The sequence below is a fragment of the Homo sapiens genome, chromosome 2 (genome assembly GCF_000001405.40).
Source record: "Homo sapiens chromosome 2, GRCh38.p14 Primary Assembly".
NCBI classification, from domain to species: Eukaryota; Metazoa; Chordata; class Mammalia; order Primates; family Hominidae; genus Homo; species Homo sapiens.
In genome coordinates, this window is record NC_000002.12 from 24,547,866 (window position 1) to 24,573,294 (window position 25,429).

The following is a 25,429-nucleotide window of genomic DNA, read 5'->3' on the forward strand; positions in this document are numbered from 1 at the left end:
GTAGTCTCAGCTACTCGGGAGACTGAGGCAGGAGAATGGCGTGAACCTGGGAGACGGAGCTTGCAGTGAGCCGAGATCGCACCACTGAACTCCAGCCTGGGCAACAGAGTGAGACTCTGTCTCAAAAAAAAAAAAAAAAAAAAGGATGAGGGAATTCTATAAGGAATGCTATGAAATGAGTGCTAAGATACACTATGTTAAAAAAAGATATGAAACTGTATAGTATTGTATTACTCTGTTTTCTTACTGCTGATAAAGACACACCTAAGTCTGGGCAATTTACAAAAGAGAGAGGTTTAATGGACCTACAGTTCGACATGACTGGGGAAGCCTCACAATCATGGTGGAAGGGGAGGAGCAAGTCACGTCTTACATGGATGGCAGAAGGCAAAGAAAGAGGGCATGTGCAGGAAAACTCCCCCTTACAAAAGCATCAGATGTTGTGAGATTTATTCACTACCACGAGAACAGCATGGGAAAAGACCTGCTCCTGTGATTCAATTACCTCCTACCAGGTCTTTCCCACAACGTGGGAATTCAAGATGAGATTTGGGTGGGGACACAGTCAAACCATATCATTCCATCCCTGGCCCCTCCAAATCTTGCATCCTCACATTTCAAAACCAATTATGCCTTCCCAACAGTCCCCCAAGTCTTAGCTCATTTCAGCATTAACTCAAAAGTCCACAGTCCAAAGTCTCATCCAAGACAAGGCAAGTCCCTTCCGCCTATGAGCCTGTAAAATCAAAAGCAAGTTAGATACTTGGGGGTACAGGCATTGGGTAAATACAGCCATTCCAAATGGGAGAAATTGGCCAAAACAAAGGGGCTACAGGTCCCAACCAAGTCCAAAATCCAGCAGGGCAGTCAAATCTTAAAGCTTCAAAATGATCTCCTTTGACTCCATGTCTCACATCCAGGACAAGCTGTTGCGAGGGGTGGGTTCCCAAGGTTTTGGGCAGCTCTGCCCCTGTGGCTTTGCAGGGTACAGCCTTCCTCATGGCTGCTTTCATGGGCTGGCGTTGAGTGCCTGCAACTTTTCCAGGTGCATGGTGCAAGCTGTTGGTGGATCTACCATTCTGCGGTCTGGAGGATGGTGGCCCTCTTCTCACAGCATCACTAGATGGTGCCCCAGTAGGGACTGTGTGTGGGGGCTCTGACCCCCACATTTCCCTTCTGCACTGCCCTAACAGAGGTTCTCTATGAGAGCCCCGCCCCTGCAACAAACTTCTCTTTGGGCATCCAGGTGTTTCCATACATCTTCTGAAATCTAGGCAGAGGTTCCCAAACCCCAGTTCTTGACTTCTGTGCACTCACAGGCTCAACACCATGTGTAAGCTGCTAAGGCTTGGGGCTTGCACCCTCTGAAACAACAGCCTGAGTTGTACCTTGGCCCCTTTTAGTCATGGCTGGAGTGGCTGGCACACAGGGCACTAAGTCCCTAGACTGCATATAGCAGAGGGACCCTGGGCCTGGCCCGCAAAACCATTTTTTCCTCCTAAACATCTGGGCTTGTGATGGGAGGGGCTGCCACAAAGGTCTCTGACATGCTCTGGAGACATTTTCCCCATGTCTTGGTGATTAACATTCGGCTCTTCATTACTTGTGCAGATTTTTGCAGCCAGTTTGAATTCTCCTCAGAAAATAGGATTTTCTTCTCTATCACATTGTCAGGCTGCAATTTTTCCATATTTTTATGCTCTATTTCCCTTTTCTTTTAAGACAGAGTCTCACTCTGTCACCCAGGCTGGAGTGCAGTGGCGCAATCTGGGCTCACTGCAAGCTCCACCTCCCGCGTTTACGCCATTCTCCTGCCTCAGCCTGCTGAGTAGCTGGGACTACAGGTGCCCACCACTGCGCCCAGCTAATTTTGTTTTTGTATTTTTAGTAGAGACAGGGTTTCACCGTGTTAACCAGGATGGTCTCGATCTCCTGACCTTGTGATCCACCCACCTCGGCCTCCCAGAGTGCTGGGATTACAGGCATGAGCCACCGCACCCAGCCTCTATTTCCTTTTTAAAATTGAATGCCTTTAACAGCACCCAAGTCACCTCTTGAATGTTTTATTGCTTAGAAATTTCATCCGCCAGATACCCTAAATCATCTCTCTGAAGTTCAAATTTCCACAAACCTCCAGGGCAGGGGCAACATGCCACCAATCTTTTTGCTAAAACAAGTTATAGCAAACAACTTCCTCCTCTCCATTTGAGACCACCTCAGCCTGGATTTCATTGTCCTTATCATTATCAGCATTTTGGTCAAAGCCATACAACAAGTCTCTACAAAGTTTGAAACTTTCCCACATTTTCCTCTCTTCTTCTGAGCACTTCAAACCATTCCAGCCTCTGCCTGTTACCCAGTTCCAAAGCTGCTTCCATATTTTTAGGTATCTTTTCAGCAGCACCCCCGACTCCCAGAACCAACTTACCATATTAGTCTATTTTCATGCTGCTGATAAAGACATACCCAAGACAGGGCAATTTACAAAAGAAAGAGGTTTAATGGACTTACATTTCCACGTGGCTGGGGAGACCTCACAATTATGGCAGAAGGGGAGGAGGAGTGAGTCACATCTTACATGGATGGCAGCAGGTTGAGAGAGAGCTAGTGCTGGGAAACTCCCCCTTATGAAACCATCAGATCTCGAGAGATTTATTCACTACCATGAGAACAGTATGGGAAAAGACCTGCCCCTATGATTCAGTTACCTCCCTTCAGGTCCTTTTAACAGCACATGGGAATTCAAGATGAGATTTGGGTGGGGACACAGCCAAACCATATCAGATATGCCACTGTTGTTTTTGTTTGCTTTTATGTGCATAGAATATCTATGAATGCCTAGTAAACAAGGGAAGGGAGCTGGATGATTGGAGGGAAATTCCTGTTCACCATCACTTGTTTTGTACAGTTTCCTTTTTGTACCAAGTATTTGTATTACCTAACTTTAAAAATGCTCTGATAGGCTGGGTGCAGTGGTTCATGCCTGAAATCCCAGCACTTTGGGAGGCCAAGGCGGGTGGATCACTTGAGGTCAGGAGTTTGAGACCAGCCTGGCCACCAAGGTGAAACCCCATCTTTACTAAAAATACAAAAATTAGCTAGGCATGTAATCTCAGCTACTTGGGAGGCTGAGGAAGGAGAATCGCTTGAACCTGGGAGGCGGAGGTTGCAGTGAGCTGAGATTGTGCCACTGCACTCCAGCCTGGGTGACAGAGGAAGACTTTGTCTCAAAAAAAAAAAAAAAAAAGCTCTGATAGTTTTCATTTGTGGTTGTCTTTTTTTGTAAGGCAGAACACTGGATGCTCTATCCAGGCAAGATTGGTTCTGTTTCAGATAGCATAAAGACCAGTAGGAAAGGTTAAACATATGTACCATGTCTCTAGACTGCTTGTTAAGAGTTGTCATTTTTGCATTGTCCAAATATTCTGCCCATTATTTTTATTGAATTTTTTTAATTATTGTGTTGAAGAGTTCTTTATGTCCTGAAAACAAGTCCTTCATCAGATGTTTGTTTTGCAAATATTTTCTCCAAATTTGTGGTTCGTCTTTACATTTTTATAACACTATCTTTTGAACAGCAAAAGTTTAAAATTTTAATAAAGTGTTATTTTTTTTTCTTTTATCGTTTGTGTTTTTAAGCATCATATATAAAAACTCTCCGTCAGTGAGAGGTTGGCAAACTAACGACCTAATTCAGCCCACTACTTGTTTTTGTAAATAAAATGTTATTTGAATATAGCTGTGAACATTTGCTTATGTATTGTCTATGGCTGCTTTCATGCTACAATGGCAGAGTTGGGTAGTTTCAGCAGAGACTGTTTGGCTCTCTGCAGGATAAGTTTACCAACCCCTGGGCTAACCTGCAATCCCAAAGATTTTCTTCTATGTTTTCCTAAGTTGTATAGTTTTGAATTTTTTCTATTTAGGTCTATTAATTTTTGTGTAAGACATGAGGTGTGGGTTGAGGCTTTTGTTTTTGTTTTTGTTTTTGTTTTGGCATATGGACTGCCAATTGTTCCTGCACCATTTGTTGCAAGACAGTTCTCTTTCTATTGAGTTACCCTGGTACTTTTGTTTGAAATCAGTTGACCATAATATGTAGATTTATTTCTGGACTATCCCTTCTATTCCATTATCTTTGTGTTTATCCTTATGGCAGAATCACAATGTCTTAATTGCTGTAGCTTTATGGAAAGTCTTGAAATCAGTGAATCTAAGTCTTCCAACTTTGTTCTTCTTTTTGAAAAGTGTTTTGACTATTCTGGTTTCTTTGCATTTTCATAAAATTTTAGAATCAGCTTGTCAGTTTTTTTAAAAAGCCTGCTGGGATTTTAATTGGATTTACATTAATTTGGGGGAAAATTGACATCTTAACAATATTGATTGATCTGATATTTGAAAATAATGTATCACCAATTATTGAGGTCTTTGATTTCTCACTGTGCTTCATATATATTATATATATATATATATATATATATATATATATTTTTTTTTTTTTTTTTTTTTTTTTTTTTTTGAGATGGAGTCTCGCTCTGTTGTCCAGGCTGGAGTGCAATGGCATGATCTCAGTTCACTGCAACGTCTGCCTCCTAGGTTCAAGCAATTCTCCTGCCTCAGCTCCCGAGTAGCTGGGACTACAGGCATGTGCCACCACACCCAGCTAATTTTTTGTATTTTTAGTAGAGACGGGGTTTCACTATGTTAGCCAGGATGGCCTTGATCTCCTGACCTCGTCATCTGCCTGCCTTGGCCTCCCAAAGTGCTGGGATTAAAGGCGTGACCCACCGCTCCCGGCCTGTGCTTTATATTTTTGAGCACAAAAATCTTGCATTTATTTTGTTATATTCTATCTCTTTTTAATGTTTATACAATTGCTACTATTTTGTGAACTTATTTCTAATTATTCGTTACTACCACTAGAAGTACAATGTAATTTTGTGTGTTGACCTTGTCTTCTGCAATTTTGCTTAATTCATTTAGTAGTTTTAATAGTAGAAATTTATTAGATAAATTCAGTAGATTAATCCTTTGGGATTTTCTATATAGACAGTCTTGTCATTTGTGGAAAAAAACAGTTTTGTTTCCCCTTTTAAAATCCATCTTCTGGCTTTTATTCCTTCTTGCATCACTGTACTGACAGTGTAATACAATACAGTACATTGTTGAATAGGAGTGGTGAGAGCAGACGTTCATGTCTCGTTCGTCATCTTAGGAGACAACGTTTAATCTTTTGTGATTATGTATAATGTTAGCTATAGATTTGTTATAGATACGTAGGTTGAGGATGTTCTCTTCTGTTTCTAGTTTTCTGAGAGTTTTGAATCATGAATGATGTGGAAGTTTTTCAAATGCCTTCTTTTTTTTTTTTTGAGGCAGGGTCTCACTCTGTCGCCCAGGCTGGAGTGCAGTGGGCGATCTTGGCTTACTGCAGCCTCCACCTCCCAAGTTCAAGTGATTCTCCTGCCTCAGCCTCCCGAGTAGCTGGGATTACAGGTGTGCGCCACTACACCCAGCTAATTTTTGTATTTTTAGTAGAGACGGGGTTTCACCTTGTTGGCCAGGCTGGTCCCAAACTGCTGACCTCAAGTGATCTGCCCACTCGGCCTCCCAAAGTGCAGGGATTACAGGCGTGAGCCACTTTGCCCAGCACAAATGCCGTTTTTTTCCCCATTAATTAAGATGATCATTTATTTTTCAGTCTGTTAATGTGGCGTATTACATTGATGGATTTTCTTTCATATGTTGAACCAACATTGCATTCTTGGGATAAATGGCATTTGGCTAGGATATATATTTCTTTCAGTATATTGGCTAGATTCATTTGGTTAAGATATTTTCCATCTATGTTCATCAAAGTATGATGGTCTGTAGTTTTCTTGTAGTTTGTTTTGGTCTGATTTTTGTATTAGGGTCAATACTATATTCTCATAAAATGAATTGAGAAACGTTTTCTTCTTGTTTCTGGAAGAGTTTTTGTAATATTGGTATGATTTCTTCATTAAATGTTTAGTAGAATTCACCAAGGGAGCCTTTGTCATGGAAGTGTTTTCTTGAGAAGGTTTTAAATTATGAGTTAAGGAATTGGTACGTTTTATCTAAGTTGTGGAGTTTATTGCCATAAAATTGTTCAGAATATTCCCTAATTATCCCTTTAATAGCTATAAAATCTCTAGTGATGTCTCCTTTTCATTACCAATGTAGGTAATTTGTGGCTTCTCTCTTTTTTTGATCACTCTGGTTAGAAATTTATTTAGTTTCATTGAACTTTTCAAAGAATTAGATTTGTGTTTCATAGATACCTCTATGTTTTGTTTTCAATTTTTTTTCTTCAAATTGCTTTGTATTTAATTTACTCCTTTTTCTACCTCCTTAAGGTGGAGGCTTAAATTATTGATTCAAGACCTTACTTGTTTTGTAATGTAAGCATTTCATGCTGTAAGTTTCTAAAAACTACTTTAGTAGTATCCCTGATTTTTTGTTTGTTTGTTTTTGTTTTTTGTTGTGTTTTTTGTTTTTTCAGGAGCAGAGGTTTAATAGGCAAGAGAAAGAGAAAGGAAAACAGCTCTCTCTCTAATGAGAGAGAGGGGACTTCGGAGAGGAAAAGAGGACAGGAGATACGGCAATCGTGGATAGGAAAGGAGGAAATTACGATAGAAAAGTTGGAGATCCTTTTGCTAACACCCCTTTGGGCAGTTGGATGCTGAGGTCAGTCCAGAAACCTTTGACTAATACCAGGGGGTAGCCCCAGCCAGAAATCCTGCTCCAGAACCTCTTCCAGCCTCACACGACAGCTGAATCCTCCGTGAAAGGAAGCTGGTTCAAACATGGCCAACATAGCCAGCAACATGTTGGTGCTGGGGGATTCTCGATGTTCTCCCTAGTAAGTCACACATCCGAGTCTTTAAGAATGGCAACCATGCTGTGTTTTTAATTGGCTGACGGATGCCTGTTACTGATTTGATTTGGCTCTAAAATGGAGGCTGAGAGCCCCAAAATGAAAGGACAGGATTGGAGTCCGCTTCTCTACTTACCGTTTTGATGAATGTTGTACCTTGGTATCCCAGACGAGGTTCCCAATATGAAGCGTCTACGTTGTCTGGGGTAAATACCCGGAGTTTGTCATCTCACACCAGGAAAATTTAGGACACAGACACACACGAGGAGTTTAGGAGCGGAGGTTTAATAGGCAAGAGAAAGAGAAAGAAAAAGAAAGGAAAACAGCTCTCTCTCTAGTGAGAGAGAGGGGACTTCCGAGAGGAAAAGGCCCTCCCCACAAACGTTGATATTTTCTCTTTTAATTTTCACTCAATTAAAAGTATTTTCTAATTTTCCTTACTTTTTTGTTTAACCCATGGAGTATTTTAGAAACATGTTGTTTAATTTCCAACTCTTTGGTATTCTTAATCTATCTTTGAGTTATTAATTTTAATTTAATTCCATTTTGGCCAGAAAAAATACATTATTTGATTTTAAGTATTTTAAATATCTTAAAGTTTGTTTTACGGGCCAGAATACGGTCCATGTTGGTGAATATTCCATGTGCTCCTGAAAAGAACATAGTTTTTGCTCGTGTAGAGTGTTCTGTAAATGTCCAGTTTGATCAAGTTAGTTGGTAATGTTTTCAGGTCTTCTGTATCTTAGTTATTTTCTGTCTTCTTGTTCTATTGATTAATAACAGGAGTATTCATATCGATAACTGTAATTGTGGATTTGCCTATTTCTCTTTACAGTCCTATCAGTTTTTGTTTCATTTAATTTGAAGTTGTATTGTTAGATAGTAACACATTTAGGATTGCTATGTCTTCTTAATGAATTGATTCTTTGTAATTACATAGTGTTCCACTTTATTACTGGAAATATTTCTTGTTCTGAGGTTTGTTTTGTCGATATTGTATCAGTTCTGTCTTTCCTTTCTATTCTATCCTTTTTACTTAACTTTTCTCTTCGTATTTAAAGTGGGTACCTTGTAGATAGGATGTAGTTGGATCTTGTTTTAAACATTTGATCTCATAATTTATTCTTTTAATTAGTAAGCTTAGATTATTTCTACTTAGTTATTGATGTTTGGATTTAAATGTACCATCTTGCTAGTCTTCTGAATTTTGGGCCTTTTTTGTTTATTTTTTCCTCTTTATTTTATTTTCAGTTCCAGGATACACGTGCCAGATCTGCAGGTTTGTTACACAGGTAAACATGTTCCATGGTGGTTTGCTGCACCTATCAACCCATCACCTAGGTGTTAAGCCCAACATGCATTAGCTATTTATTCTGATACTCTCTCTTCCCCCGCCCCCCTGACAGGCTCCAGTGTGTATTCCCCTCCCTATGTCCATGTGTTCTCATATGTTCAGATCCCAATTACAAGTGAGAACATGCGGTGTTTGGTTTTCTGTTCTTGCGTTAGTTGCTGAGGATAATGGCTTCCAGCGCCATCCATGTACCTGCAAAAGACATGATCTCATTCTGTTTCATGGCTGCATAGTATTCCATGGTGTATATGTACCACATTTTGTTTAGTCTATCATTGATGGGCATTTGGGATGATTCCACATCTTTGCTATTGTGAATAATGCTACAGTGAACATACGCTTGCATGTTTATGGTAGAATGATTTATATTCCTTTGGGTATATCCCAAGTAATGGCATTGCTGGGTCAAATTTATAAGAAAAAGGCAACCCCATTAAAAAGTGGGCAAAGGACATGAACAGACACTTCTCAAAAGAAGACATTTATGTGGCCAACAAACGTATGGAAAAAAGCTCAACATCACTGGTCATTAGAGAAATGCAAATCAAAATCACAGTGAGATACCATCTCATGCCAGTCAGGATGGCTATTATTAAAAAGTCAAGAAACAACAGATGGTGGTGAGACTGTGGATTAATAGGAACACTTTTATGCTGTTGGTCAGAATGTGCATTAGTTCAACCATTGTGGAAGACAGTGTGGCGATTCCCCAAAGACCTAGAACCAGAAATTTTTTCTTCTTTTCTTGCCTTGTATTGAATTAATCATTTTCCATGATTCCACTTTATCTCTACTCTTAGCTACTTATTTACCTAGTGCTTGCTCTAGGCCATTGTTCCTAAACCTTGATACTATTGATATTTTGGGCCAGATAATTCATTGTTGTTGTTGGGTTGGGGGGGGTGGCTATCCTGTATGTATTGTAGGATTTTTAGCAGCATCCTTGGTGTCTGCCTACTAGATGAGAGTAGCAGCCACGCCCCATTCCCAATTGTGACAACCAAAAATGCCTTCAGACTTTGCTAAATGTTTTCATGGGGGTAGCAACGGTGGGTTGGGGCGGGAATTGCCCTTGGTTGAGAACTGCTACTCTAGAGTTTAAAAGATATATCTTTAACTTATCACATTCTTCCTTTAAATAATATTATGCCACTTTATATGTCATATAATAACTTTACAGCACTGTACTTCAATTTTGTATCTCCCCTTTTTATGCCATGTTGTTACACATTTTACTTCTATATGTTACTAACCCTACAATGCAGTCTTATTAATTTTTGCTTTAGTTGGTGAATAATCTACGGTGAACAAAGTAAGAAAAAGTAGTCTTTTATATTTATCTTCCAATGCTCTTCGTCTTTGCTACCCCCTCCCCCTCCTCCTCCTGCTCCTCCTCCTCTTCTTCCTCTTCTTCTTCTTCCTCCTTCTCCCCTCCCTTCCCCCTTTTTTGGTAGATCCAGATTTTTACCTGGTACTATACTTCTGCCTGAAGAACTGCCTTTAATATATTTTGTGTCTGCAGGGAGTGAATTATCTCAGGTATTATTAGTTCAAAAAAAGCCCTTTATTGTCGAAAAGTATTTTTGCTGGTTATTGAATTCTATACATAGAACTGAATTCTATGTTCAGCTTTTTTTTCTTTCAATCCTTGAAAGGTATATACTCTATTCTCTTTTGGCTTGCATACTTTCCTGATAAGAAGTCTTCTGTAATTTTAATCTTTGTTCTTTGTGATATTTTTTTCTCTCTCTAACTTTGCGATTTTTATCTTCATTTTCAGCAGTTTGACTATGATATATCCATGTATGTTTGGTGTGTGTGCTTTTGGTGTTTATTATGAAGGGTTCCTTGGAATTTTTTGGATCTCTGGTTCATTTTCCCAAAATGAACCCTTGGGTTCATTTTGGGAAAATTCTTGGCCATGATCTCTTCCATATTTTTTGTCTCCATTATTTTTTTTTCTTCTCCTGGGAGTAATAGACATTCTGATATAATTCCACAGCTCTTGAATACTCCAAACTGTATTTTTCCCCCACTCTTTTTAACTTTGGTTTCATTCTGGATTATTTTTATTGACCTGTATGCAAGTTCACTTGTTCTTTCTTCATCCCTGTCCAGGCTACTGTTGAGCCAGTCAAAGTGCTGCTGAACTTAACTAAGTTTGTTTGCCTGTGTGCAACGGAAAACTGTATTAGTCCATTTTCACGCTGCTGATAAAGACATACCCGAGACTGGGAAGAAAAAGAGATTTAATTGGACTTACAGTTCCACATGGCTGGGGAGGCCCCAGAATCATGGCGGGAGGTGAAAGGCACTTCTGAAATGGTGGTGGCAAGAGAAAATAAGGAAGAAGCAAAAGTGGAAACCCCTGATAAAACCCATCAGATCTCATGAGACTTATTCACTATCACGAGAATAGCACAGGAAAGACTGGCCCCCATAATTCAATTACTTCCCCCTGGGTCCCTCCCACAACATGGGGGAATTCTGGGAGATACAATTCAAGTTGAGATTTGGGTGGGGACACAGTCAAACAATATCAAAAGCGAAACACCGAAGCATCAGGTTTTTGTAGAGGGAAAAGTTTATTGCAAGGCCACCAAATTAGGAGACAGGAGAGTGGCTCAAATCTGTCTCCTGAGCTGGGGCATGTTTTATAGTCAGAGAGTAATGAAGCATGATCTAATTGGATCTTGCGATGAGGTGATACCTAGAGGTGTGATCTGATTGGATCCTGTCTTGGGGTAATGCCAGGGCTTGATCTCGTTGGATCCTGAATCCTGCTGTATGCTGTCTGCTTCTTAATTCAGTCCCTGTTCCTTAGTCTGAGCACTTAGGTTCCACTTGTGGTTGCATGCTTGGTTTATCTGGGCATGCTCAGGTTATGTGACATTCAACGTGGGGGTCCATGGCAACTGAAAAACAACTCGCAACTTTGTTACATAAAAGTTGAATCAGACTGGGGTAGTGCAGTTAGAAAAATAATTTTTCACCTCTGATATCTTTTTCTTTTTGTTTTTAGCTTTCATATTTTACTTTTTAAAGTTTCCATCTCTCTGCTAAAAGGACGAGACTAAGGTGATCCTCTTTTGCTGCTGCCTCTGTCAGGTTGTTTGTGTTGGAGGCTGAATCAGTGTAATCAAGAGTTGAGCTGATTTTGGGTTTTGTCACCGTCATTACCCTCTCAGTGCACCACAAGCTTCATATTTCTCCAGCAGTTGGCTGCTGGTCCCTTGTGTTTAGAGAATGGCATGTCGCTCTACAAGATTTTTCTCTGTGTTCCTGTACCATCCTCATCTTCCAACAGTCTTTGCACATCTGTGCATAGAAGTACCAATATTTCTCCTTATGTTGTTGCCCCTTTCCCAGTGATAGCCTGTTGTTTGTTATTCAGTGCCATGCTTGTGGTGCAGAGCAGGCTTCTCTTTTGTTCTGGTTCAGACTCAATTGTATTCAGGCCATTTGTCCTGGGCATCAACTGGGCTCTCTCAGCCTCAGCATTCCTGCCTTCTCTTTCTTGTGGCCTGCCCTTTCTTCCATGTTTTGTGGTAGGTCATGGACAGGAATATCCTTCTTTTCCCCTAGCGGTAGTAGAAGTTTCTTTGGTATTGGTGCAGGATTCGTTGCCTAACTCTTTTTCCTGCTCTGTACTCCACCACCTGGCAGAGGTTCTTTTGCCTCTACCCCTCTCCTAGCAACATTGTATCTTTCCCTGTAACATAACTGAGAGTGTTTGTCTATCTGTTCCCCAGAGGCAGAGGCATTTTGCTTCCATTCTGCCCTGAAGCAATGGATTTTTGCCAGGACCTTTGGTTAGAGGATTTTCTGTTCTTCTCCTAGTGGCTTGAGGCTTTTTTTCTGTGTTGGAGAACAGTTGGGGAATCAGGCTTCAGCCTTGTCCTAGACACCTCCTGCACACTTCCCCTGATGATGAGGGCTCTCTCTGGTTTCCTGGCCTACTATTATACTAATCTTTCTTGTGAGCACCTGGTCAAGGCACGTGGAAAATCTTGCAACTGAGAGAACTTTCCTTATGTCTGGGGTCCCCAGCTATTCTAAACTGTCATAATAGGTTACACTTGGTCTTTAAGAATTTGTTAAAATTTTAGCTGATTTTTTCTTATACTGTTGTATAGTGGCCACTTCTTTTTCTGTGACCTGCCAGAGGTCAGACAGTTTGTGTGTAGTCTTTCCTTGGAGGAGTTATCCCTCCAAGGAGAGGAATAAAATGTACTTGGAATTTTATTAAATTTACTTGGTTGCCTTGTGACCTCCACTCTTTGTTAGACCAAGAGAAGTTTTGATTCTATGGATATGATTTTTTTTTCTCATTAGGGTGGAAATGACATTCTTTGGTGGCTTTCTGCATTCTAAGCAGAAATGGAACTACTTAGAGTGCTTGACAATTTAAAAATTCTGTTTATGCTGATCCTCCTTTAATGTTTTCCCTTTTCTCTCATCTGCGTCTTGATCACTTCATCTTTTAGGTTTGAACCCAGGCTATTTCCTCCATGAAGCCTTTCCTGATTCCAATAAGTAGAATGGAACATTCTTGACTGTGTCTCTTGTAGAATGTGTTTTACTTTTTGCAGGCCCATTGAAACCCTCAGTGAGATTGGGCAGCTTTAAGATTTTGCAAGTTTATGAGCATAATGGTTGTTGAGTTTTTAGATAGGATCATAGAGTAAACTTGAGATAAAAGATAAAGTGACGTACAAGGAAGCTCATATTTATTAATAGAATACAAATTTGTGAAATCACACCACAGAGGTTTCTGTGCTGTTTGGTTTGTGTAGTTGTTGTTGCTTTTGAACTAAATTATTGTCAGAAATAAGACTTAAATTCATAAAATCTAATTTTTGGAAAATAGGGGATTCGTTACACAAACTAGTATATGTTTATGCAATGGAATATTGTAGAGCTGTAAAAGCAATAAAGAAACATTTCCTAACTTGGATATCCAGGACATACTGCTGAATAAAAAGTAAGATGCAAAACTGAACATTTTTTGTAAGAAGGCAGGAGGAATAAGACTGTATTTGTAGGTAAATGTCTTTGTGTAAAGCATTGCTGGAAGAATATATAAGAAACTAATAAAAGTGGTAACCTACAGTAAGCAAGGGCAAAATGACCTGCATGTGGATGATGTGGGAATGAGACTTCTTAGATATAGGTTTCCTTTTATATCATTTTGATTTTTAAATCATGAATATAGCATGTATTCAAAAAATGAAAACCAATAGACATAACTATGTAGATATTGAAAGATAGGAAGATCTGAAAAATTCTTCAGAGCGATAAAAAATGTTAGTCTATGAAACAAAAATTGGATGTGAGATGCTTTTATTTTACATAAGCCAGCTTTCACCAATGAGAGAGTGAATACAAAGTTTGGAAAATTGTGAAGGACAAGGTTTCATGAATCTGGCTCCAGATAGAGAAATATGCAAAAAGGTAGCTTTCTAGCACAATTAGGAAGGTTTTGGTTTTAGAAGCAGTAGTAGTATGGATGTTCACTCAAAGTAGAAAGGAGCACTTTGTATAGATAAAAACTATAACAGAAGTACACAGTACTTGGAGTGGGCAAGGCAGCCATTTCTTACTCATGAAATCACCAGGAATACCCTTGGAATCTGATAAGATGTGTTTATTGTCAGAAAAAAATAGATGAAAATACCAAGAATATTCTTATCACAAATTAAAACCTACAAAGAAACAATAATTACTTAAATAGATTATAGCTCAGAGACCAACCTTATGGGCAAACAAAGGAAGTATAAAAGAAGAAACTTTGTAAACCAAGGGATGATGAGAATACCTTAATGTTGCTAGGAAAAACTGGTTGGTAATTTGAAATGCAGGTCAGTTTAGAGCCAAATCTCACTCTATACATTATATGAAATGAAATATTGAGAAGATTAGTCCATAGAAAAATGAAAATCAGAGCATTATCTACTATTATTAAAGGGGGAGAAATTTCAAAGCAGAGAAATAATAAAAGATATGAAAAAGTCAATGATGGGCAAATCCATCCACCTGAAAATAAAAACTTCTGTATTAAGGGCCAGTGGTAAGACTGAGAACATGTTAAAAGTAAGCAAGAGAAATAGTACAGGTTGAGCAACCCAAATTTGAAAATCTGAAATCTGAAATGCTTCACATTACAAAACTTTTTGAATGCTGACATGAGCTCAAAGGAGCATTTTGAATTTCAGATTTTTGGATTTCACATTCTCAACTAGTAAGTGTAATGCAAATATCCCCAAATCCAAAAGAATCTGCAGTCTGAAACACTTCTGGTCCCAAGCATTTTGGATAAGGGATACTCAATCTGTATTTTCACAATATAAACAATTTACACAAATGGGTAAGGAAAACATGAAGAAACCTCGATTCCATTCCACCCCTAGTAGGGCTGGAAGAGGTAGAGTGGCAAAAGTTTGGGAAAAAAGGCAGTGTCAATTATGGGAGAAGGACCTGATTAATGGTGCATTAAGGGTTGCTGCACAGCATTCGGAGTCTAGCTGAATTTTGAGACCATAATTTTATAGCAGGATCAATTCACATGGTTGTGTGATTTTTCTCTAGCAGGTGATTGGATTAGGAGTTTGAGGGTGGTGAAGCTGAAGCAAGAAATAGCATACTATGTGGATTTATAGTTGGGGAGATGACCAAGATTTTGAAACTGGAGATAACAAGCGACTAGAATGGAGAAAGAGCAGGTAGAGTGCATCCAAGGGAATGAGTCTGGACTCAGGTTAGAAAAAATAGAGTGAGATATTGAATGACAAATTGAAGAAGAGGGTTATACAGCCAGATGGGACATCACAGGGAAGGAAGGAAATTGCTTGGGAGGGTCTGGAAGTGTCACTCTGGAGAATTTTGTCTTTGCTGCCTTATCCTTCGCTCTAAAGCATTATTTTCGAAAGCCAGATTTAGCCCAGTGGTTGAAAGAGTTGGTCAGTGATGGTCAGTGATGAGAGTTGGCCAGTGAGTGGTCAGAGTTGGTCATCATTCTCAGTGATGAGAATGTAGAGATGATTTGTTTTACTTACATAAGAGGGATTTCCAGAGGTCCTTGTGGAAAAGGTTAGAAGCAAGGGCAGCAGTGGGAGACCAAATGGAGTAGATGAGAAAGCATAACTGGGGGCATGTAAATAGGACAGAGGGTAGTTGGCCAGAATGGCTTGTGTTTTGAATAAAGCCCAAGAGTGATAGGCGTAGGAGTCACAGGTAGAAGTAACTAGCCCCACATTTCTGACCCGTGGTATAATGACCGTCTCTGGAGCCTGATCCACTGCCTGTCTTTGTGATTGTAAAGAAGATGTTAGTAAAAAGCTTAACCCTGGGTGGTAAAGCCTAAATTAGTTTGGCCTTAAATAGCAAAAGCCAGTAAATCTCTCTCTTTTTTTTTTTTTGAGACAAGATCTCACTCTTTCACCCAGGTTGGAGTACAGTGGCATGATCCTGGCTCACTGCAGTCTCAACCTCTTGGGCTCAAGCCATTCTCCTACCTCAGCCTCCCGAGTAGCTGGGACTACAGGTGGATGCCACCAAGCCCAGCTAATTTTTGTAATTTTTGTAGAAACAGAGTTTTGTCATGTTGCCCAGGCTGGTCTTGAACTCCTGAGCTCGAGCAATCTGCCCACCTTGGCCTCCCAAAGTGCTGGGATTACAAGCATGATCTACTGTACCATTAATTTAGTAAAATCTAATTTGTAATATCCCACTTCCAGTGGCCTAGGACGGAATAATAGCCATGATATCAGGTGCTTCTTTATTACAGAGTTCTTCTGCTAGGAACCCTGTTTCCTTTTACTGTTCCACTTTACCTGAAACTGGATACTCAGGCTACTGCTGCTGGGGTGACTTCAGCAACTCCCCTGGAATACCAAGGCAAGCCCCAATTGATTTCATGCCTCCTTTGGGGATCTGAGCTTTTAAAAGAGCCAGCAACTACCTTTTGTCAACTTGATATATTTATCTATTATACCTTTAATATTTAAATTAATTTTTAAAAACTTGTTAGTAGTGACAAGAATGAGAATTGACATTTCTTGAATAACTAAAGCATCTGTGTAAGAATCTTTGTATGCTTACAAACAGTGGTGTGTCACACTACCCAAAATCTGTAATGTTTTCAATGGCCCAATTGTGTCTTCTCTCTCCTGCTTTAGATCTATCCATACTAATGGAAATGTAACTGGAACTGACTCTGATGATAAAATCAAGGACCATCAAGCAAGATCATGCAGTAGGCAACTTTGCTTCCAAAAGAAGTTACCAACATTTAGAATTTCTACTTATTCTGAGGTATTTGAGACACAATTTTACTTTAGTTTTGACTCCTTAGTAGTCATTTTCTAGTGTTGATTTCTAGATATAGGTTTGGTGAGTTTAAAAGTACTTATATGTTAGAATGCTTAGCTCTTAGAGAAGAGTTCACTTCCCTCCTTTCCCACTATACTCCCAAAGAAACCAACTGAGAAAAGATCCAGATTTTTTTTCCAAAAGCCTGCAGTACTCAGTATTCCAATGTGGTCTCACAACCAAGTACTAACCAGGCCCGACTGTGCTTTGCTTTTGAGATCAGGTGTGTTCAGGGTGGTATGGCTGTAGACAAGATTTTAAAGGGATATATTTATTAAAATTAGGAAAGCATGTCAATTATAAGAGATAAATTAAGTGTAGATTAAGTCTCAGTAACTATATTAGAAGAACTGGAATAAATAAATGTCAATTTAATAATTATTTTATTTACATTATGACCCCTGAGAAAAGGAACTGAATGCAGCACTCTGAGTCCACCTGCAAGATGTCAGAGACCTTACTGATCATCCTTTAGATGGTTTGAAACCTTTCTTGCCTTTCCTCCTAAATTTATTGTTAAGGATTTTCTATTCACCAGTATGTGTCACTGTTACTCCCCATAAGCTGTCCCTGTAGGACCTTTGGGATCTAATGAATTACTTGGGCCAGAAAACCAAGATATTTAACTAAAGAATCAGGTGACACTTCCAAAACATGGGGTGGATCCCCACTTGAAAGACTACATAAGACAAATAAAACAAAAAAGATATATAATGTCAACAGAAAGCAAAAACAAAAATAGTTCTGTTTTCACATGAATTCCAAACAGGTAGAGTGAGTTAGGTGTTTATTTAAAAACAAAATATTTTTTATTTTAATTATATTTTTCCAAATAGGCAGAAAGTATGCTAAGTATTTTAGGGGACAGGTCAGAGTTTGTTGATTTCTCTGAATATGTTACAGAGTTTTGTAAATTAATATTTTGCTAGAATATAGAGAAAGTAAAACCTGAGAAAAATGTAAATATGTATCACTTATTACTAGGATTCTTAACTTTGTTCTGTTTTAGAAGAAGACTATGTAAAGCATAAATTCCAAAAATAATAAGAATTCATGATATTGGGAATCCTAATGTCATGGGATCCTTGGGGTGTCCTTTCACTGGCCAGAAACTTCTGTGGCTGGTGGCGCCTTTGCCTGAGTTTTGCTTGGGCCCAGTGGGCCCACTCAGCCTGGCAGGCTGTGTGCAGCTCACACTACTGGCCTGGATCCCATGCCTGCCAAGGGCGAGCGGAGCAGCAGGGGGTGTGTGAGCAAGCGAGTGTGGGGTCTGGCCACTGTGCACAGCCAGGCACGCTGGCTGTGGCGGGGCAGGCAGCTCCAGGCATCAGCACGGGCGCTCACTCCCTGCAAGCTGTGTCTGGACTAGGTGTATCACAAGCAGCTTCCCTGGCTGGCACCAGGGAATGCAGTGGCCCTCAGAAGCTTGGAGATGCCAGGAACTGCAGAGCTCCAAAGAGGGTGTCACTGCCCTGGCTCAAGGAACTCCTAGGTCTGGGCTTCCTGAAGGCTGCAGCTCTTCTCTCCTCTTCTCACCCACAACGTGGCAAGCAAGGAGCATGTTTCAGTCCTGTTTGTGTTACAACTTTTTCAATCCTGCCATTTGATATGTCCCGAGTTCTTGTCCCACACCCAGGAAGAATAAGGTACACGGGTAAATGGAGGGTGAGCAAAGGGAACAGGAGCTTTATTGAGCTATAGAACACCTCAGAGGAGACTTGCAATAGGTAGCTCCTTTCTGCAGCCAGGGTGTCCCGATGAGTGCTCAGCTTTCAGCAGAGAGGAGACCATGGAGTTGGAGTGGGTAGCTCCTCTCCGCAGCTGGTCATCCCATCCTCTCCTCAGCTTTCAGCAGAGAGGAGACCCTGGAGTGGGCAGCTCTTCTCCACAACTGGTAGTTCCATTGTGTGCTCAGCTTTCAGCAGAGAGGAGACCCTGGAGTGGGTAGCTCCTCTCCACAGCTGGTCATCCTATCCTCTCCTCGAATTTGGCTGAATCCAGGGTTTTTATGGGCTTCCCAGGGGCTGAAGTGCATGCTGATTGGTTCATGAGTGGGCCCAGAAAAAGCACTGTAAGTTTCCATTCCAGTCCACAGGACTGGCAGCTTGGCCCCAGGCTTCAAGCCTTCTCCGGTTTGAAGGTGAGGCTTCACCAGGGACCTGCCCCTTTCTGCCCAGAAGTCTATCTGCCTCCTACCATTGTTCATGGTGCCCAGGCTGTTCCTGCTGAGGGGCACCTGCAGGCCAGCATCGAGTCTCTCCTTGTCCTCTCTCACCCGTGCTCGTTGGCACCCACCCAGCTGGGTTGCAACAGTGCCCGGCCTTGGCCTCAACTTTGCTCCGAGATTGGAGCAGGCGCTGGGAGCAGGAAGAGACCAGGCAGTGGGAGTAGGCACTTCTGAGCCTGCAGGGGCATGGGGGGCCTTCCTGGGTCCCTAAGAGTGCAGAGAAGTCTGGGTCCACAGTGGTGGATGGGCAGTTGCAGCTGCACCCAGGAGGGCGGGCCTTCTGCCTGCTCCCAGCCCCTGCTGGCTCAGTGGAGCACACAGCCCTTCCTACACTTACCCCACTGCAGCTGCTCTAGATGGGCCGCTGCTGCCATCACTAAGACTGCCTCAGCTACAATAAATGGATTATCTCCTGAAAGGGGTTAGTGTAATTGAGCAATTTTTGCTGAAGAAAAATTATCTCAAATCAAGTAGCAGATGAAAAAGAGGTTACTTTGATGATAAGTTTTAAAACGTCCCTGGCAATTAGTAGATGTATTGTACTTTTCTTTGTTTTCTTGTTGGCGTTTGAACTCAAATAGTAATGATGATTAAATATATAGTTCGTCTTAGTACCAGAGCCATTTTACTTGTTTTTTTAGGTATATCTTTTCTTCTTACTTTCACTTAGGAACATTAGTGGAATGCCCAAGCTTTGTAAAGAATGAGTCTAGATATGGGGAAGAATATAAATTATTCTGTAACTTCATTATAAATGGAATTGAAGATGTCTTTTATTCAGAATGGTTACTCTTGGGCTAGGAAGACTAGATACACCCATCTGAAGCCATTTATGTGCAGTCATAGACTGTGTACATCAAGTCAAAATCTAGAATCCCTTTCTAAGTAATATACTTAAGTTCTATATTCAGACCTTAACAAAAGTAAAGATTAGGGAATAGGAAGTTCTCATCAATTGAAATTGCTAATTGGTTGTATAAAAGTGCCATATAGCCTAAATTAGGTTGCTTAAATTTTTAAATTAGGAATTTCTTGTTTATCAATTTCTTTTTTTAAGACAGTCTCATTTTGTTGCCCAGGCTAGAGTGTGTGGTGGCATGATCTTGGCTCACTGCAACCTCCGCCTCCTGGGTTCAAGCAATTCTCCTCCTCCCCAGTAGCTGGGATTACAGGTGTGCACAACCACACCTGGCTAATTTTTGTATTTTTAGTAGAGACGGAGTTTCACCATATTGGCCAGGCTGGTCTTGAACTCCTGACCTCAAGTGATCTGCCCACCTTGGCCTCCCGAAGTGCTGGGATTACAGGCATGAGCCACTGCACCTGGCCATTTATCAATTTCTTATATCTCCTCACTGTTTTTCAAATGTTCACAGAGTGATATCCCCTATTCATATTTGTCATTTTCCATTTTGAAAATGAAGAAAAGTGAAAAATCTCACAAATTTGTGCTTGGAAGAGTTTTACATTTGAACTTCAGATTTAAAGAATATGGGATTTTGTTGTTTTGGGGGATAAGAGCAAAATCAATACTTGAGACGGGAAGTTAAGGCCCTAGAACATTTGCAAAGTTATATGTCCTGGTTTACAGTTTACATTAAGTTGAAATGGTACCTTTTTAAAATGTTTTGTCTGGACTCAGTAAAACATTTGAAAGCAAATTTTGGCCAGTTATATTAAGGGAATGGATATTCCCTGCTACAGTTTTTTTTCTGTGCTGTGATGGAAAGAGCAGAAGCTTTACTCTCATGCTACCTTGGGAGAATTGAAGTAATATTTCTTAGTTTCCTTTTCTGTAAGAATTAATTTTTAGAGGTGATGAAGAATGAAATGTGTGTGAAATAATGAAAAATAATGCTTTTTAGTGTGAAATTAATGAATGTTGTTGCTAAGACAGAGAGGTCCACATTACTGTATCATTCAGAGGTATCTTTTTCATAGGAAAAAGCAGGTCTACTCACTACTATTGAGAAGCTTGTAAAACCAGTTTCAAAGTTAATAGCAAATATTATGCTTGCAGAGAAAGTAAAATGAGCTTTTGGCACAAATTCTTTATCAAAGACATACCATCTGGAAAAGCAATTACTGTCATGTACCCATGCCAGTATTTTGTTTTTCAGCTGGATGAAAGCACTGATGTACAGAGGATATACTAGTGCTTGATACAGGTGTGTTACTGTTTATCACTGAAAAATCACTATAGCAGAAGAGTTTTATGTTTTGTTATTGGTCTGTTGTTTTTTTAAGCCATTATAGCCTAGAAAAGCTTCTTTGTTTCCTTCTGATCAAAGCACCAACAACTATAGCTGCAGGAAATGGTCTACTTGCTTTTTAAGTAAAAGAAGTTGCAGCAGGATATCAATTCATATCCCACTTTTTTCAGAGAGGAGAATTGGCATTTAGTAATGTGACTTTTTGTCATGATTTAGTGTTGAAGAAAATAGTAAAACTTGTGGATGTAAGCAGTTTTGGCCACTAGAGCCACCTCTTTTCAGAGTTTTATGACAAAATAGCAGCAATAGTATTTTGCTTTTTCACAGTGATATGTTAGCTGTATAGGAGGAAAGGGCTTACATGTTTGTTAATTAGTTTTTTAGTAAAATGAGATAAAGATATACTTGCTACTGATATTGTATGATTTCAAGGGACATAACTTACCTAGTTATGAAATACCTGTGGTATTTCAAATAGTCTGAACTTACAACTTTATATTCATGATATCATGAATTTCAATGTTAAGGATGAAATATGAGGATTTTGTAAAAGTCTGAATTACGGTGCAAAATAATTCAACCTCTGAGAGTTTGACCGTATCCTCAAACTTGTTGGTTTTATTAATTTTTTTTTTTTTTTTTTTTTTTTTTTACTGAATTTGGGCTAGGTACGGTAGCTCAGGCCTGTAATCCTAGCATTTTGGGAGGCCTAGGTGAGTGGATCACAAGGTCAGGAGTTCAAGACCAACCTGGCCAATGTGGTGAAACCACGTCTCTACTAAAAATACAAAAATTAGCTGGGTGCAGTGGCAGGCGCCCGTAATCCCAGCTACTTGGGAGGCCGAGGCAGGAGAATCGCTTGAACCCTGGGGGCGGAGGTTGCAGTGAGCCAAGATCGCGCCACTGCACTCCAGTCTGGGCAACAGAGTGATACTCCGTCTGAAAAAAAAAAAAGAAAAAAAAAGAATTTGTATTATACATGTCTAAAAACCACATCCAAATTTTGAAATAGAACATGGAAAAATACTTCCCAGAGTCAAAATGCAAGCAGAAAGTAGATTAGGAGTCCTTTTTTCAATTTCTCAAGTTGAAGCACTTAATTTCCAGCTTTAAGTGGTATATACTTTTTTTTTTTTTTTTTTTTAGCATTCAAAGGAATGCTGAAATTAAAAATCAGTGAGAAGTCTTGCTATATAATTTCTGGGTCCACGTTCAATCATAATATCCAGGCTGTATAATGCCACTGATTTATGATTTATAATTAGAGATTTTTATTTACTAAAAATAAAGAACAAGAAAGAAACCAGCTGAATATGAAAATTGGTTTATGGTTCAATCTGATTCCAGATGTGGGTGTTTGAACATCTTGCAGTGAAGTTATCAAACACTAATAGGGTTGTTACAACTCAGGTGCTTAATTGAATGGGCTCTGGTTGGCCAAAGAAGATGAGACAATCTGAGCATCAGTAAGCATTAACTGCAATATAATGAATCATATCAAATATATTTAAATCCGTGAGTTCATAATGATACTTCAAGAACTCATTAGTTTTCTTCAGAGTATGCTAAGGAGCCAACTATGCTTTAGAGCAACCAAATAGTTGCTGAGAGGAAGTTTCTTTTCTCAGATAGAATAAAAACATCACCATTTTCTAATGAATTCCTGAACCTAAGCAAAGATCATGAATGGCTGCTAACTGCACGGGCAGAAACGGACATTAGCTTTCTCTTAATGAAAGTTCACAGTGCTGCCCATGAAGTATTCTTGCCAAAAAAGTTGAACCCGAATGTGATCAAGTCTCTAGCTCTACCAGTTTACAGGAAACACAGAAGACAGAGAAACACATTAAGTGATACCATGTGAATGCAGTTAGCAAAATATAGGTTATGGGGAACTCTTAGAGACATATGTCTTGTTTTTCAACGAGCAAATTGTAGGGAGAAAAAAGAGAAACGGAGGAGGAAACCGTAGATTAACAGCAGTGCCTGGACTTTATTTGAGTCTAAATTTTAATAAACATTTATGAAATAGGGAAATTTTAACACTGACAAGATATTTGATATTAAAGAATTATTGTTAATTTTTAGGTGAGATGATAGTATGTAGTTATGTATTTTTTAAAAGCCCTTACCTTTTAGCGATACATAATGAAATATTGATGTAACGAAAGATATGCCTGGGCTCCTGCTTCCTTACTATCTCGAGTACAGGGGAGGTTGTGGGTGAGGATTAAGTAAGATTGGCCATTAGTTGATCGTGCAACTAGACACTTGTGATTTGGGGGACAGTGCGTGAGGGGGTGGGAGTAATTCTTGATAATATTCCCTAAACTTTTTGGAAAAATTCCATAGGAAAAAGGTCCAAAAATACAGTTGAATTATGTATATTTAGCAACCTGCTCAGTTATATTTCTGATAATTTCTTGAGTCTGCTGAGTGTACTATATAGAAAATCCTATTGCCTGCAAGGGACAGTTTTACTGTATAGTGCTTACTGTTTACCAGGCTCTCTTCTCAGCACTTTATACATATTTACCCATTAGATCCTCACAAGAATGCCTGTGAAGTAGACATTAACTTGCAAAGGTTACCCAGGTGCTATGTTTTAGAGCTGGGATTTGTATCCAGGCATTCTAGCCCTAGAGTCTATGCATCTCTAGTTTTTGTATCTCTCTTTATAACTTTTTATTTTTAATCCCTCTACTCCAGTCTTTCTTTTGTTTCTCTTAGTGCGCTGGCCAAGGAGTTCACCTTTTAAAGACCAGTTTTTATGTATAATTTTGATTTTGTAAGTTATCTTAATACATAGGGAATCCAGAGTCCAGCTGACTTTGCTCCTTTACAAATACAAGGTACTTAGTAAGGGGCTAGAATTAGCTTACTGTGTATCCAGAAACCAAAGGATCAAGTGTATTATAACAGTGTTCAGTATTTTTTATTATATTTCTCTCCTGATCTGTAAGCAGTTCATTCATGGCTCATTTTACTTTTGATTACTTGATTTTATTGGTATTACTTGCTGAATTTCTTTGTGATACTTAGATAAAATTACTCCTTCCTCCCCTTAACTCCTACACGTTAGGTAATTACCCCCTGCTTGACTTTACATAGATTACATGAGATAAGCAAAGCACTTAGTACACAGTTTAGCACATAATATGTATCTAGTAAATACGCTTTTTGGTTTAAGAGACAGCCACTTCATAATTTTGTTCAAAAATTGTTCTTTACTCTTTAGGTAACTTTTGAAATGGGGAGGGAAGAATATGGCTTAGTCACTTTAAGAAGTCCTAGGCCTGGGACAGGTGGGTAAAACTTGATAATGTGTTAGGGTGGTTTAATGAGTAATCTCTGTGTTCTCTGCAAGGAACTTTTTAATGATAGGCTCTGAGTTTGAGAAAGATTACTGACTTGAGTTGGTTTCCAAAAGAATACTTGTTTATTGGGGGTGAAGTGGGAACAATTTAGGGAAAATGTGACCTGTCCCAACTTCTTGAGTGTTTTGGTTCCTCTTTAGCCAATTGCAAAGGACGTTATGACATAGTAGGATACTACAATTCATGAAAGGAGGCACATAGCCTCTAGTAAGAAAGAAAACTTTTGATTTCATTCATATGAGAGAAGGCTCACAATTACAGATAACTTTTTCGTGAAGATTGTGGAAGGTGACTCTGAAGACCTGGGATAGCTAGTTAAAAGTTATGGTATTTTTCTGTACTCCATCACCTCCCTCTCTCCACCCGAGCTGCACCTGCTATTTTACATAGGAGTGTACTGAAGCAACCTTTTAACATATCTTTAATTTTATTTTTGAAAATGATGTTAAAGTATTTGGAAACTGAAGACTGTGGCCACACAAAGTATCTTTTATTTTCCAAAGGCCAGTTATTATTATTGAGTGGCATAGCTATTGAAATTGCATCACCAATTACTTGACTGTGTTAAAGAAAGGGATTTGCTTTTGGGGGGCCCGTAGGTTATTGATAAGAGATAAAACATATTTTTTTGAATAACAAATGTGTATGACAAACCCACTCTCGTATCTAATCATGAAATGAAATGCTTTCCAATGAAATCTGGATGCTCTGGAAACCAAAAGGTGATATATAAGAGGAAGCATAGTTGAGAGGTACTCAATTTAACTTTTGTTATCAGTTACTTGGTGAAGGTATTGAAATGTTTATTGCTTTGAAGATGATCTTAAATGAGGAGGCATAGTTAATGTGGTCTATATAGAATGTGAGATGAAGTGAATTTAAGAGAAAAGAAAGCAGATATGAGAAAAACAAAAATGTAAGAAAATAGCTAATATTTAATGATTGCTGCGTATCAAGTGCTGTGATAGATACTTTATACATATTTTCAGA

The 25,429-nt window shown here is 39.4% G+C and overlaps 1 protein-coding gene and 1 pseudogene across 14 annotated transcripts in view, besides 1 other annotated feature; one reads left to right on the forward strand and one right to left on the reverse strand.

Annotated features, from left to right (window-relative positions):
• Positions 1-25,429, forward strand: part of NCOA1 (nuclear receptor coactivator 1) — a 279,449-nt gene that overhangs the window by 56,612 nt on the left and 197,408 nt on the right. For 4 of the 14 annotated variants that reach the window (XM_047446155.1, XM_047446154.1, XM_047446153.1 and 1 more), the window contains 3 exons: positions 6,524-6,708; positions 8,150-8,190; positions 16,430-16,565. The exons of 5 other annotated variants lie outside the window; for them this stretch is intronic. The gene's annotated coding sequence lies outside the window, so the exon portion shown is untranslated. Of the gene's footprint in view, positions 1-6,523; positions 6,709-8,149; positions 8,191-16,038; positions 16,149-16,429; positions 16,566-25,429 lie in introns of all 14 variants that reach the window. 5 more of the 14 variants (NM_001362950.1, NM_003743.5, NM_001362952.1 and 2 more) reach the window with 2 other exon arrangements.
• Positions 2,542-2,742: a silencer, noted in NCBI's record as "peak3621 fragment used in MPRA reporter construct". NCBI's record gives its function as "represses an SCP1 promoter by STARR-seq MPRAs in K562 erythroleukemia cells {active_cell/tissue: K562}" and the evidence as "EXISTENCE:reporter gene assay evidence [ECO:0000049][PMID:32103011]".
• On the reverse strand, positions 16,765-16,873 carry RNA5SP88 (RNA, 5S ribosomal pseudogene 88; annotated as a pseudogene).